The 15,418-nt window shown below is 45.1% G+C and overlaps 2 protein-coding genes across 8 annotated transcripts in view, besides 3 other annotated features; one reads left to right on the top strand and one right to left on the bottom strand.

Annotated features, from left to right (window-relative positions):
• RNF212B (ring finger protein 212B) overlaps positions 1–2,593 on the top strand; it is an 88,142-nt gene extending 85,549 nt beyond the window's left edge. For all 7 annotated transcript variants that reach the window (NM_001370218.3, XM_011536323.3, XM_011536316.3 and 4 more), the window contains one exon: positions 1,939–2,593. In NM_001370218.3, coding sequence (NP_001357147.1) covers positions 1,939–2,007 — 69 coding nt within the window. In that variant the 3' untranslated portion in view covers positions 2,008–2,593. The remainder of the gene's footprint in view (positions 1–1,938) is intronic.
• HOMEZ (homeobox and leucine zipper encoding) lies at positions 1,538–15,248 on the bottom strand. Its single transcript, NM_020834.3, has 2 exons — positions 15,029–15,248; positions 1,538–6,303 (listed from the first exon to the last, which is right to left on the bottom strand). Exons 1-2 carry the CDS (start codon positions 15,066–15,068, stop codon positions 4,691–4,693), a joined length of 1,653 nt encoding a protein of 550 aa, NP_065885.2. The 5' UTR covers positions 15,069–15,248; the 3' UTR covers positions 1,538–4,690.
• Positions 8,847–9,347: an enhancer, noted in NCBI's record as "OCT4-NANOG-H3K4me1 hESC enhancer chr14:23748940-23749440 (GRCh37/hg19 assembly coordinates)". NCBI's record gives its function as "activates a minimal SCP1, AML or CMV promoter by ChIP-STARR-seq in naive H9 embryonic stem cells {active_cell/tissue: H9 hESC(naive)}" and the evidence as "EXISTENCE:reporter gene assay evidence [ECO:0000049][PMID:30033119]".
• Positions 9,348–9,848: an enhancer, noted in NCBI's record as "OCT4-NANOG-H3K4me1 hESC enhancer chr14:23749441-23749941 (GRCh37/hg19 assembly coordinates)". NCBI's record gives its function as "activates a minimal SCP1, AML or CMV promoter by ChIP-STARR-seq in naive H9 embryonic stem cells {active_cell/tissue: H9 hESC(naive)}" and the evidence as "EXISTENCE:reporter gene assay evidence [ECO:0000049][PMID:30033119]".
• Positions 14,978–15,387: a silencer, noted in NCBI's record as "silent region_5602". NCBI's record gives its function as "represses an Ori minimal core promoter by ATAC-STARR-seq in GM12878 lymphoblastoid cells {active_cell/tissue: GM12878}" and the evidence as "EXISTENCE:reporter gene assay evidence [ECO:0000049][PMID:35858748]".

Here is a 15,418-nt window from a genome sequence, read left to right on the forward strand (position 1 = left end):
GTGGGAGGCTTTAAACTGAGAGGTCTTGGCCAGCGTGAAGTAAGTGTGGACACATGGACATCTTCAGTAGTTCCACAAGAAAGTATTTTCTATGAAATACATCTTTTGGGTAGGGGTACTACTTGAACTAGGAAAAACCACATTTACTTCTCCAGAGACCGCTAGAATAATATTTTATAAATTTATGGGACTATGATTCTGATTCCAGCAACAAAAGGTAAAGGGCATGGTAACAAGGAGAGGTTTGTAAAGAGTTCTATTAAATGAAAAGTCACCGGGGGCGGTGGTACATGCCAGTAATCCCAGCACTTTGGGAGGCCGAGGCAGGTGGATAACCTGAGGTCAGGAGTTAGAGACCAGCCTGACCAATATGGTAAAACCCCGTCTCTCTCTACTGAAAATACAAAAATTAGCCAGGTGTGGTGGCGGGTGCCTGTAATCTCAGCTACATGAGAGGCTGAGACAGGAGAATTGCTTGAACCCAGGAGGCGGAGCTTGCAGTGAGCCGAGATTGCGCCACTGCACTCCAGCCTGGGCAGCAGAGTGAGACTCCATCTCAAAAAAAAAAAGAAAAAGAAAGAAAAAAATAAAAGTCCAGTCTTGCCTTTTTTTGTTTGTTTTTTTTAATGGCTTGGGTTTTGAGCATATTTAGGCTCCTTTTTCACTCCAAGCTCCTGGTGTCCCTAGGCACAGTTCCTTCATACTAAGATAAGTATATATTTTGCTCCCATATTCCAAGATGCCCTTTATTTTCATCAGTAAGAAATTAGGGTCTAAGCCTTAAGAGGCAACACTGGGGAAGTAACATTCCTCCCTAAAATCCTCAAATGGAGGGATTAACCTAAGATGAAAAAAGACTTAAAAGCTCTATAAACCGTCTACAAATATATGGCCCCTAATTGGATCTTGACTGAAACAAGCTGTAAAAAAAATAAATAAAACAATTCATGAGACAGTTGAACAAAATTATCTATTGGACATTTGATATTAAATAATTGTTAACATTGGAGAGTTTTTTGGTATGATGATATCGTAGTTATGTTTTTAAAAATAGCCTTTCTCTTTTATAGGTACATACTAAAGTATTTATGGATGGAAAGTCAAATGATGTCTGGCGTTTGCATCAGTGTAATTTAGTAGGGAGGGACACTGGGAGAGTAGAAATAAAAGATTGGCCATTAATTATTTGTTAAAGATGGACAATGGGCACATGAGTTCATTATACTATTCTATGTATTTTTTGAAAATGTGGGCCAGGCGTGGTGGCTCATGCCTGTAATCCCAGCACTTTGGGAGGCCGAGGCGGGCGGATTATGAGGTCAGGAGATCGAGACCATCCTGGCTAACATGGTGAAACCCCGTCTATACTAAAAAAAGTACAAAAAATTAGCCGGGCATGGTGGCGGGCGCCTGTAGTCCCAGCTACGTGGGAGGCTGAGGCAGGAGAATGGCGTGAACCCGGGAGGCGGAGCTTGCAGTAAGCGGAGATGCACCACTGCACTCCAGCCTGGGTGACAGAGCGAGACTCCATCTCAAAAAAACAACAAACAAACAAACAAACAAACAACCGAAAATGTGAAAAAATTTTAAAGTTATTGAAGGAAATGCCACCTCCTCAGAGGCCTAAGAACTCTGCCTCCCTGGTAGTCATCTCTGGGTGTGGTAGTCATATGTCCCAGATTTTCCAAAATAGTTTAATTTTCAAATATTCATCCTTATTATTATCACCATAAGCTACTGAAATGTTCCAGAGATTGTCACACTAGATGTAGCAAATCCTAGTTTGGAAAAGTTAGTTATCATGCAATGAAGAAAACTATGGGGAAGCAAAAGCAGTGGTGTCTGTCTCGATAAGCTTCATACAACAGGTCAGAGAGACTTGCTTGCCCTTTTTGCTGTTATAAACACCCACATCTACCTTCTTGTCCTCTGCTGCAGACTCTCTACCAACAACGGAGGCATATGGGATTACCCAGTGGGAGAGAAGCATGGACCACTTCTAGATAGATCATCTTCAAGATCTGATCTATACATGCTGCTGAAGGATGGACTGTAGCTTCCAGTACGCATTAGGGGTGATGGCCCTGGAAAATGTATCCCTGCATTGTTTCCTAGTTTCACTCTGTACCTTATGCTCCCCCCATCTTTACCCTATTCACCCTTATCACCTCCCAGGACAGTGGTCAGGTCTTACAAAAGGCTAGTGCTTCAGGAAGATGTTTATATCTCTTCCAGAAGACACTGGTAGCTCCCCTCATTTCCTACAATTTGGAACAAAGGTCAAAAAAATAATTCTTGGCATCATGCTTGGTTGGGAGTTGGGAATGGGGATTGTGATGGATCATATACTCATCACTGTTTCATTTCTGGATTTCATTTTTAGCTTTGGATATACTGTCCCATTGCCAATGTTAACGAGCAATATCTCTGTTCTTTTCCTTATTATACTTTTTTATTTGTCTATTATTTCCTCTATGCTTAGTTACTATTAAATGTTAATTTTCCTTTCTATTGAAAACAACTGTTGGAGACACTGATTTTCAGCTTAGTATATAGATAGTAAAATAAAGACGATGCCCTTTTATTGCTACAATTCTATCACTTTTACAAGCTCTAGAATGGTGGAATGGGCGAACAACACTATCACTGAGATCAAACATGTATTCTACTTTGGGTTTTAAAAGGCAGAAATGACGAATTAAATAGGTTAGCCACTCACAAGCTGGCCTTAAGCAAAAATACTGGAAAAACAGAAAATAGCAGGCATCTGCCAGAAATAAATTAGGTCTTGGGAATGATCTTGTATCTGAACTAGGATCCCCATACCCTTTCTGGTACTCTGAATTTATTTTAAAGGCATTTCTAGATACCTTCTCTTTTAGGCAAGGGCCTGTCCTGTAGCAAATGGAGTTACCTCCAAGACTGTTGTATCTCTGTTACTCCTGAAGCCTCAGAAATTTTAGTCATTATCATTTGATGGCTGAGAAACAACCTGGCTGGCGATAGATGCTGAACTACTTCCTTTTTACAGTTTTTGTTCTTTTAATTTACCTCAATAAGTCCTGCCCCTCCAAACAATAAGTTAAAAGTATGCTGAGTTAGAATGTTAATGGATTTGGTTCCATTAATCCCTAAACCATAGGAGTGGCAAAGTGGTTGAGAGAGAAACAATTTTATTTTTGGCCTTTTTATTATTATTCTAGCATTTTAGGGCTTCCACTCTTTTATTTTTAGATGGTTAACTCATTGATGATACCTATTTGCCATATAGCTGATCCCAACTGATGAAAACCATTCTAAAACATCAATAATTAATTCACTTAAAGACGATGGTCCCTCTGTCCCTAAGACAGATCCTATCAAGAGAGGGAAAAGTCTCTTTTCTGGAAACAAATTGACAGCAAAAAGATGAAAAATTAGTCTCTGTCAAGCTGGACAGGAGGTAGTTAACAGGTTTGTAAAACCAAACCTGAAACCTACCTTCACTGCCCTTCAACAAGGAGAAACTATTCCCTCTCTTTCACCCCTTTGTAACACAATTCTACTGTTTAAAAGGACATCTTCCCTAATTACCACCTCCAATAAATATCCATTCTAAATTATTCTCCACCCAATTATTAAAGTTTTTTACAAGCTCGGTGGGGGAAGATTTTCCCTGAGACAAACAATGAACAGAGTGAGGATTTTGGAAAGATAGAAAAAGCTACAAGGCAAAGTGGTCACAGCATAAGAACTGAAAATAGCCGGGCACGGTGGCTCATGCCTATAATCCCAGCACTTTGGGAGGCCAAGGTGGGCGGATCATGAGGTCAGGAGATCAAGACCATCCTGGCTAACATGATGAAACCCGTCTCTACTAAAAATATAAAAAAGTAGCCGGGTGTGGTGGCAGGTGCCTGTAGTCCCAGCTACTCGGGAGGCTGAGGCAGGAGAATGGCATGAACCTGGGAGGCGGAGCTTGCAGTGAGCTGAGATTGCGCCATTGCACTACAGCCTGGGCGACAGAGCAAGACTCCACCTCAAAAAAAAAAAAAAGAACTGAAAAATTCTGCCACCTGTGATTTAGTCATGAAGCGGGTGAAACATAGTCAAGTTGGTATGAGGAAAAGGAAATATTAATATTTGTGATGAGACTGGGACTTATTGAGAATCTTGGTTGTCTAGGAAATGATCAGTTACTAAGAAAAAAGTAAGAGAGTCAGTTGCATTACGCACAGACTTGTGCTCAGAAAAGGGGTACAAGGCAGCCTTATATTCCAGGTAAGATGGTGGGATTGGGGATGCACTGGAATCATCAATCAAATCAGAATCCTTTACTCCTCCTTTCCAATCCTCCTGGAGAGGTGGTGCCAACATCTGGCCTCTGTATAGTACACCAAGGGAAAAAAACAGCAGACACGAGGAGAGCAAGAGCAGCTTCCCAGCCCATGGTTTCCCCAGATCCTTAGCACTCCCTACCCTAAGGTTAGAGGGTTGGATTTCTGCTGATCCAATCCCAGCCTTACTTAGTGCCCTATGGTCATTCTCCCTGGTCCACCCTCACTATATCCCCCTGCCACCCACCCTGAAGAACACAAAGCTTTTTAGTTCTCTGCCACAAGGTAATTTTAAAAATGTGGTTTCTTTGTTTAAACAGTTACTAAGTTGGTTCATCTTTCAGTAACAGACCTCCCCTCCCCCAGCTCCCCACTCAGTCTTGTATGATCACATCATCATCATCATCATCATCATCTTCCTCCTCCTCCTCCTCCTCTTCCTCATCATCTTCTGGCAGTTCTTCCTCCTCCTCTTCCTCTTCTTCATCTAGACAAACTACCACCTCAGCTGGCTGAGGTAATCGAGAGTCAAACCAATCCAGCACCTGCTGGGTGCTAAGCCTTGATGCCTGACTCAATTGAGGGATATCAGTTTCCCGTAGCTGTTGGTGGGCTGCCCAGTACCTCTCCAAGGGTTGTATATCCGGTGGGGGTGGAGGGATCGGCAGAGGTGGTGTCTCAGCCCTTTCGTTCAAGGAGCGGGTTGATGGTGGTGGTGTAGGAATTGCTGGGTCTTGGAAACTAGGGGCACCAGGTACTGCGTTGTCCCGAAACCACTTTAGTTGCCCATGCTTCAAGGCATAGCGTGTGTCACCAAACCACTGAATGATCTCAGGCCGAGGTAAACCAGTGATCTGTTCTAACTTTTGGTAATCCTCACGCCGTGCCCACTGGCACTGTAAAAAAAAGGATTTAAGGATAGCCAGCTGCTCTTTGGTTTTGCGCTTGGTCTTTCGCTGGCGTTGCATATCTGGGGAAAGGTACTCTGTGGGGCCAACTCTACCTGGTACTGAGTTATGCCGTAGCCCTTGGGGCCAGGCTGGTTCCAGATGTGGGGGTAATGCCTGTTCACTGGGTGACACTGACTGTGGGACACAGCCTAGTGGCTGGAGGGGTTTAGAGGCGGCAGTAGCTCCATTAGCCAGTACCTGGAAAGAAGAAGAGGTAGAGGAAGAAGAGGGAGTAACACTAGATGCTGACTCCTCCTTACAACTACTGGCAATTAATGCAATTGGTGGGGGTTTATCCCGAGCTTGTGGCTGGGGGACGGTTGTGGAGTGGTTCCAGGAAGCAGTACCTATGCCATGTGACTGGTTGGGACCCCTGCCTGCCTGCTCCTTTGAGAGGCCACTGCTTTGAAGATGTTGCCAAAAATCTGATTGGTAGGGGAATGCTCCACTGCCAGGTGTCATCAGGGACTCCTTTAATTTCTGGTGACTCTGTGGCAGTGGTGGCATCTGAGAGGGCTCCTCAGGCTCTACCTTCAATCCTTTCGTCTGGGTAGGCTTGCTAAGAGTTGGAGGACCTATTCCAATACCAACTTGCTCTGGAGCTGGCACTGGAGGAGGAGGCACCTCCTCTGGGGGCCGTCCCGCATGATGAGTAAAAGAGAGAAGGGATTTGAAATGGAGTTGGTCCCGACGGTAGACTACTCGGGCTCGAGTCTCTTCTATTTCTTCAGATGACCAGCTAATACCACAGCGGAGGCGCTGGGCCATAAACCAAGTCTTGACTTTCTCCATCTGCAACCCATAACGTAGGCAGAGAAGGGCAATGTCTGCTAGGCTGGGATAGGGAAAGTAGCTGAAGGTTTTGAGCAGGTGTTCATTGCTGTCTAGCTCACTGGTCTGGGCTGCTTGCGTCCACACAAGCTGTAGCTCCTCAGAGATTGGAGGGAGGCAGATGAGCCCCGCTGGTGAACTACTGAGACCGCTGGCCTCTTTATTAGGAGGCATGGTGCCTTCTGATTTGTGCCCTTCAGAGATAGCTGCAATAAGAAGACAAACAGCTCAATCACTGGGTCTCCTCTTCTGACACACTGCTCAATTTCTACCAAACTAACTGCTGGACACCAGAACAATTTAATCTGTATTTGTATCATGTTGTATTGCTTTTTAAGTGCCTCAACAATTTCTTATTTAATTTTCATAAACTTAAGTCATCAGACCCTGCTTTAATTCCCATTTTCTGTGGACCAAAGTCCATAGACGTTAAATTACCCCAAGCCACATGACTGGTGAGTGTTGTTCCAAGAAAAAAATCTGTCTTTAAAGCCAGCCATGGTGGCTCATGCCTGTAATCCCAGCACTTCGGGAGGCCGAGGTGGGAGGATTGCTTGAGCCCAGAGCTTTGATACCAGCCTGGGCAACACAGTGAGACTACAAAAAATTTAAAAATCAGCTGGGCATGGTGGTTCGTGCCTGTCGTCCCAACTACTTGGGAGGCTGAGGCAGGAGGACTGCTTGAGCCTGAGAGGTTGAGGCTGCAGTGAGCTATGATTGCACCACTGCACTCCAGCCTGGGTGATAGAGTGAGACCCTATCAAAAAAAAAAAAAATCTGTCTTTAGAAGTTAAGAAGGAAAACTGATCCTGATATAGCTTTTTTTAGTGTGTATGTGTGTGTCTGTGTGTGTGTGCGTGTGTTTTGAGATGGAGTCTCACTCTCTCGCCCAGGCTGGAGTGCAGTGGCATGATCTTGGCTCACTGCAACCTCCACCTCCCAGGTTCAAGCAATTCTCTACCTCAGCCTCCCGAGTAGCTGGGATTACAGGTGCCCGCCACCACGCCCGGCTACTTTTTGTATTTTTAGTAGAGATGGGGTTTCACCGTCTTGGCCAGGCTGGTCTTGAACTCCTGACCTCGTGATCCACCTGCCTCTGGCCTCCCAAAGCTGGAATTACAGGCATGAGTCACCACACCCAGCTGGTGGGTTGTTTTTTTTTAAAGAGATAATATTGCTCTGTCACCCAGGCCACCCAGGCTGGAGTGCAGTGGCACCATCATAGCTCTGATACAGCCTTTATCTTTCCTATTCAAACCCACTTCTAGAAGCTATCCACCAACTCTCACCTTCTAAATTCATGGAACAAGAATCACATAGTGAAGACTCAACCACAAAAACAAGAGGAGCAATAATTTCAACTGGTTTGTGTGTGTGTGCATTTTTGTTTTTGTTTTTTCAAGAGACAGGGTCTCACTCTGTTGCCTAGGCTGGAGTGCAGTGGCATGATCATGGCTCATTGCAGCTTTGAACTCTTAGGCTCAAGCAATCCTCCCACCTCAGCCTCCCAAGTAGCTAGGACTACAGGTACATGCAGCCATATCCGGCTAATTTTAAAATTTTTTGTAGACAGGGTCTCACTATGTGGCCTAGGCTGGTCTCAAACTCCTAGCCTCAAGTGATCCTCCCACCTCAGCCTCCCAAACTGCTGAGATTACTGGAGTGAGCCACTGTACCCGGCCCTCAGAATTGTTTGTTTGTTTGTTTGTTTTTGAGCAGGATCTTGCTCTGTTGCCTAGACTGGAGTAGAGTGGCATGATCTCAGCTTACTGCAGCCTCCGCCTCCTGGGTTCAAGTGATTCTTGTGCCTCAGCCTCCTGAATAGCTGGGACTACAGGCGTGTGCCACCATGCCCTGCTACATTTTGTATTTTTAGTAGAGACGAGGTTTTACCATGTTAACCAGGCTGGTCCCGAACTCCTGACCTCAAGTGATCCACCGGCCTCGGCCTCCCAAAGTGCTGGGATTACAGGCGTGAGCCACGGCGCCTGGCCAGAATTGTTAATAACTATTTTTTTTTTTGAGACAGAGTCTTTCTGTCACCCAGGCTGGAGTGCAGTGGCGTGATCTTGGCTCACTGCAACCTCCACCTCCCGGGTTCAAGTGATTCTCCTGCCTCAGCCTCCTGAGTAGCTGGAATTACAAGCGTGCACCATGATGCCCAGCTAATTTTTGTACTTTTAGTAGAGACGAAGTTTCACTATTGTTATAAATAAAGTTTCGGTGCCACAAAAGAAATAGCAATCGAATATAAAATTTTCTTTTTTTTTTCTTCTCAGTAGGGCAATTTACTTCTATAGAAGGGTGCGCCCTCATAGATGGAGCAGTGGTGAGCACACACCTGGACAAAAGAGGGGAAGAAGTTCTTATTCCTGACACAGGTGGCCCCTGCCGCTGTCATTCCCATATTGGCTAGGGTTAGACCGCACAGGCTAAACTAATTCCGATTGGCTAATTTAAAGAGAGTGACCGGGTGAGTGGTTTGGTGGGGAAAATGGTTATGGCAGAGCAGGAAATCGGAAGGAGTCAGGGTGGAGAATGAGTCAGGGCAGAGCAGGTAATCGGAATGAGTCAGGGTGGAGCAGGTGATCGAAAAAGGTTGCTTTACAAGGAAGTTAAGTTTAAAAGTAGAAGGCAAAGAATTGAACATACTGACATATTGATTCTTTGAAGAGAAATTTAGAACTCATATCTAATGCTATGTTGGCCAGGCTGGTCTCGAACTCCTGACCTCAGGTGATCCACCTGCCTTGGCCTCCCAAAGTGCTGGGATTACAGGCATGAGCCACCGCGCCTGGCCACTATTTTTTTTTAGAGACAAGTTCTCGTTATGTTGCCCAGGCTGGCGTGCTATGCATAGGTGCAATCATAATGCACTACAGCCTCGAATTCCTGGGATCAAGTGACCCTCCTGCCTCAACCTCCTGAGTAGTTAGAACTACAGGTGCACAACATTGTTCCTGGCTTGTTACTAACTCTTTGGCTGCTAACAATTTATATTTAGAATGTGGATCAACAGATTGGGAATACAACTGATGAATATCTGGAAGGTAGGACAGCACTGTCCTCTGCCCAGCCCCCCTTTTTTCTTTCCCTTCTTGGTGGTGGAGTGTTGGGGGAAGGCGACTGACAGTACCTTTAAGCCCTAAGCCCAAACCTGATAGCTTTATTTTTTCCATCTCTTGGTTGGATGAGAGACATGGGTCAGAGATTGGGGATAAATGAGGCTCACTCCCCTAACCCTTTAGGTCATGTGAAAATAGAGAGGGGAATGTTTCCTCCTCCAAGTCAGCCTTGGAACAAAGGTTATCCCCTCCCCCAGCCTTTGTCTCTTCCAACAGCTCAGCTTCTCCCCAGGGAGCCCAGAAAGCTCCCTCAGTCACTAACAGCCCCCTCCACACAGGGCAGAAGGTCTCCTGAGCTTAACTTTTCAGCCCAGCTTTCTCCTCAAGACCAGGTGGACAGGCTCATTATAAATTGTAACCAGCTCCTGCAAGCTACCCAGCAGCACCACTGCTCCCAGGATTATGGGTATGGGGACTGCAGGAATAGCCTTTGACTGTGCTGCTTTCCTGAAATAACTGCTCAAGTTATTTCCCAGAATATTCTGTTGACAATTTTTAACTCAGCTCCCTGTGTGGGCACTAGAGACCCTTTAACACATCCATCACCCTTTACTCTTAGGGGAATCACATCTGTTATATTTTATTTTTATTTTTATATTTTTATTTTTATTTTATTTTATTTTATTTTATTTTATTATTTTATTTTATTTTATTTTATTTTATTTTATTTTATTTTATTTTATTTGGAGACGGAGTCTTGCTCTGTCGCCAGGCTGGAGTGCAGTGGCACGATCTTGGCTCACTGCAACCTCCGCCTCCTGGGTTCAAGTGATTCCCTTGCCTCAGCCTCCTGAGTAGCTAGGACTACAGGCGCACGCCACCACACCTGGCTTTTTTGTATTTTAGTAGAGACAGGATTTCACCATGTTGGCCAGGATGGTCTTGATCTCCTGACCTCGTCATCTGCCTGCCTCAGCCTCCCAAAGTGCTGGGATTTCAGGCGTGAAACACCGGGCCCAGCCTTCTATCTGTGTTTTTAAGTATTACTCCTGATCTGCTAAGGACAGGACAGGATTCCTATGTAAATGCTACACGATGAATTGCAAAAATAAACCTCAAGTCCATACATTTAGAGCAATGTGATCGCAGGGATTTTACACCATGATTTTTAAAATTCAGAAGCATTTTAATACGTGTCACCATTTCCTTTTAACAAGCAAATCTAACTAACTGAGGCCACGCAGACCCTGAAAGCAATACTGCTTGAAGAGCCCCTTAAGAGGGTCAATGGAGGCAGCATGGCATGACGGGTAGAAATATGAATTCTTCAATAAGGCCAACCTCTGAGTTTGAATCCCGGTTCTGCCACTTATCAGCTATGTGATCTCAGGCAAGTTACTTAACTTACATGAGCCTGGTTTCCTCCTATGTAACAAAGTGAAGACAGTGCAGAGAGTACGTAAGAGTACTACGTGCTAGGTGTTATGCATAGGCAGGGCATAGAGCAAATGTTAGGGGATGGATGTCCGGGGTGAGACAAATTAATGCAACTCCACTTCCTAGAATGCTGCTTGTCCTCAGGCAGTTATTTAACTTCTCTAAGTCTTAGTTTCTCATGAGAAAAAAAGCACCTTGGGCCGAGCGCAGTGGCTCATGCCTGTAATGCCAACACCTTGGGAGGCCAAGGTGGGCAGATGGTTTGAGCCCAGGAGTTTGAGGCCAGCCTGGGCAACATGGTGAAACTGTCTCTACAAATAATAATAATAATAATAATAATAATAATAATAATAATACAAAATATTAGCTGGGCATGGTGGCGCAACTGTAGTCCTAGCTACTCGGGAGGCTGAGGTGGGAGGATTGCTTGAGCCTGGGAGGTGGAGGTTGCAGTGAGTCGAGATTGTGCACTGCACCACAGCCTGGGTGACAGAGACCCTGTCTCAAAAAGAGAAGAAAAAAGCAAAAAAGCACCTACCCAGCAAGTTTATGACTAAATGAAAAAGTGCACTTGACATTATAACTAGAACAAAGTAAGGGCTCAATAAATAGCAGCTTTTATCATGACTTCAACTTCATGGAGGTGATTTTGATGTGAAGTAATGCTCCTCCTAGACAATGGGGTAACTGGGACAAAGACTGAATCATTTAACATTCACTGTTTTCAATCTATTTTTGCAGAGCCCTAATTCTAGTTAGCGATGAGGAAACCAGTGTATCTGTGATTCTATACTTTTACATTTTGGGGTTTAAATACAATTTCAGAATGTATTTGCCACTTAAAAAAATGTATGAAAACCAGTGCTTTAGAACTGCATCCATAATTTGGATCCTTTGTGATCGGTGTGTCAGTTGCCTATGTGATAGTTCCACCTTTCGCCTTCCAGGTTCATCCAGGACACAGCTGAAATGGCCTGGGAGGCACTGCTTGCATGGCCAGGTGCTAAACTACCATTTACAAATTGTGGCCCACCGAGAACACCACCAAATCCAAGCTGGAGAACACTTTATGATGGCAATGCTTGACGTCTACTTAACCTCATTTGTGTCCTATTATATAAAGACACAATAACACTTTAGAGATAAGGAAAATAAAGCATAAGGAACAAAGCAGTCCAGTGTGAGGATGAATACTGCCAGATGGGAATATAAGGCAGGCACATTTATAAGTATTAAAAGCTGTAAGGAAGCATTTTACTTTCGTTTAGGTGGCTTGATGTCCTTCACATTCTCGGCATCAGCTTGATATTTCAGTGTAACATACAGTACTGCAAACAACATATTTGGTGTACTATATGCATTCAGTTTTCACTTACACAAAACACCAGTTATGGAACACTTCCTGAAACAGAATGGTGGCTTAAATCAAGGCACAGCTGTATAGCTGGTACTTCCCTGGAAGAATCTGGCTTTGAACTAAGAGAAAACCACAACCAGAATGGCTCATGAGAATTATAACAGGTAGGGTAGACCCTATAGTAATCAAAATCATAATAAAGACACTAGAGTATCTTGTGTTCTTGTGTGTCCATTTTGGATTGAGTAGAAAAAGAAGAGAATCAAAAGCTGAAGTGAGGAGTCCTAGCGCAGAGGAGGTAGTGGTGGTGGTGGTGGTGAATATCTATTCTGAACAACTTCTAAATTTGTATCCTTATTAAATATGCCAGATATGTCCCATTGCTACTTAAAAATCACTAATAAAAATATATGGAGTCATGGCTGGGTGCAGTGGCTCATGCCCGTATTCCCAGCACTTTGGGAGGCAGGAGGATCACTTGAGCTCAGGAATTCAAGACTAGCCTGGGCAACATAGCGAGACCTCGCCTCTACAAATAAATATATAAATTTTAAAAATTGAAAAAAAAATTCTCTCTCTCTCTCTGAGACAGTATAACACCCTTCTTTCCCCTTGGGCTTTCCATATCCCTGGACAGATGGAAGACAAGAACGGACTGTCTTAAACTTCCAGTTTCTGTGTTTACACAGTCCTAGGAAAAAGAGGACTCTAGAACTTTAGGTTTGAACCTAGGCTTATCGTTAAAGTAGGAGACAGTTAAAGTGGGAGGCGAGGCTGGGTCTAATGGCTCACGCCTGTAGTCCCAGCACTTTGGGAGGCCGAGGCGGGAGGATCACTTGAGGTCAGGAGTTCGAGACCAGCCTGGCTAACATGGTGAAACCCCGTCTCTACCAAAAATACAAAAATTAGCCGGGCATGGTGGCATGCGCCTGTAGTCCCAGCTACTGGGAAGGCTGAGGCAAGAGAATCGCTTGAACCTGGGGGGCGGACGTTGCAGTGAGCCAAGATCACGTCACTGTACTCCAGCCTGGGGGACAGAGTGAGACTCTGTCTCAAATAAATAAATAAATAAAAGTGGGAGATGAGATATGATCCTTTAGAATTCCCTAAATCTTTATTTAGAGACAATCTGAAGCACTCCTGAAATGTGTTTGGGGATACAGTTTTAAGGGCCTTAAAGACTTATAGTGATATTCAGCTTATATGCTTCTTAACTTTTTAGTTCATGAACCTCTTTGAGAATCAGACAAAAGTTACAGACCCTCAGAAAGTTATGACTAACCTTCCCAAAATAAACATTCACACTTACACAATAAACTCAGGGGCTTTAGTTGCTGCCAAGAAGCCAGGTTAAGGCTTACTGCCTCATATCCTTCCAACTTAACAAAGGCAATAGTGATAATCACTTAAAGATGAACAGTTTGATGTGAATGAACGTAAAGAGTTGATGGAATACTCAAGAATTCAAGTGCGTCTAGAAGGGACAAAGTATTTGTGATATTAGTTGGAAAGAGTGGAAGGGAGGGATGCTCAACTGGGCCAGGAGCCTGGCTTAACTGAGCCACTGGATTACATGACCAATACCCACAGTACACTGGAAACTAAAGGCTAAGTAGGCTGCTACTAGTGCGCCAAAATCATCTGCTTCATTCAGTTGTCCTGTGTCCTGGGGCCAGTTTTGTGTGATTACAAACCTGCTTATGTCCATATTTTTCAGTGTCTATATAATAATGTAATTAAACCTCATGTTAAACCTATGAAAAATCACTGCATTAAAAATTGTTTCTTCAGGAATACTGATTTTTAAAAAATTGCTCCTATGAAAACTAAGTCAAATGTTTTGGAGAGACATAACGCAAGGAAGAGTATGCATTTTAAAAATTGTTGAGTTGGGAGTGAGCAAGACAACTGTAAAAGATTGAGCGGTGGGACTTAATCTCAAAAGTACTCTGCACTCAGAAGTGTCTAAATTCATACTTCACTTTAAATAAAGCAAAACGGGAAACCAAAGATGATGAAAGTGCCTGAGTGGCTCTCAGACTGCACACTAGAATTACCTGGGAAGCTTAAAAACCAGGCCACCCTCCTTCCCATTCAGGTTCAATAGTCTGTACTGGGGTCCAGGCATCCAAAGTTTTTAAAAGTTCTCAGGGTACAGCCAGGTTTGAGACTCCCTGTGTAGTTAATACTGGAAAGAGAATTGGGAACTCTGAACAGCAGTCTTAGACACAAAAACAGTCTCACCACTACATCAAAAGATTGGTGAAATGGATATACTTTTAATTATAATGTTTAAGATATGTATGCATTATCTTTAAAATTCCCAATCTGGCTTTTTCAATTACTACCAACTAACCGAATCATGTAATATAAAAGGGCTTCAAGTGTATGATGGGAAGGAGGTTCACATGACAAAAAAAAAAAAAATCTCCTGATAGGGGCCCACATTACCAAACAGGTCTCAGCTTGAGTCTTCTTTCAGTTTAGGAGTCTCAGAATAGGACGCAACACTAGGAACCCCAGAGGACTCAGGTTCTCAGTTTCCTGGTTGGTTCTCTTAGTATGGCTGGGTACGGGAGTCAGAGGGGCAGTTTCTTCTAAACCTTTCATTCCCAAAGGCCACTGATCCCCAGAAGCAAGGCCAGGTTCTGCACGTGTGTTGAGGTCGCCAGGAGGTAGCCGTGGGGGTTGGGGGTTTGTGTGGCGGGGGGGCCTGGGAAGGAAATGTTTCTCCTATCCTCCATTTCACAGGCAGTCCAGAAGGCTCCGAACTGGGTCAGGGAACAAAAAGTTATTGCACTTGGGACGATAAGCCCCATGAGGCAGGCGAATCTCAATCCTACTCTCGCCAAGGGCGCCCCAACCCAACCTTCTTGCCCTCCCCTACACAGACACTCACCCTCCCCTAGTTACAACAGGGGAGGGAACCGAAAAGTCCAGAGGAGAAAAAAGAGAGAACCGGGCCACTTCGAACCTAGAATTATCCCCCCACCAGCGCGGGGATGGGGCTCCAGAGGTGGGAGACCGTACACGAGCTGGGAGGGGAAGTCCAAGGGGCTGGGGATCACTCACCGCAGTCCAGCCCGGGCGGCGGCTCCCAGCCTCGCACCATGGGCCGGGGGGAAGTGGGGGAGAGGGCAGGGGGCCTCCGAGTGGGAGTGGGGTTGCTGCCCGGTGCGGCCGCTCCGAGCCCACCCCAGCGATGGCCGAAACCGGGACTGCCCCCCCCACCGTCCCCGGGAGCGCGCCGGTCTACCCAGCCCTGCTCGAGCAAGTTGGAGGCGGGGCGGATGGGTGGGGTGGGCGTCCAGAGGCGGTGCCAAGGTGGCCCGAGTCCTGATTGGTAGGCGCAGGCGGGCGGGCACGGGCGAAGCGCACTGGGCTGGCCATTGGCTGCGTGGGTCTCGGCTGAAGTCAGGTATTGGCTGCGTGGGCCTCAGCTGGGGTCATCTATTGGATGCG

Source organism: Homo sapiens, chromosome 14 (assembly GCF_000001405.40).
Source record: "Homo sapiens chromosome 14, GRCh38.p14 Primary Assembly".
In the NCBI taxonomy this organism is placed as follows: Eukaryota; Metazoa; Chordata; class Mammalia; order Primates; family Hominidae; genus Homo; species Homo sapiens.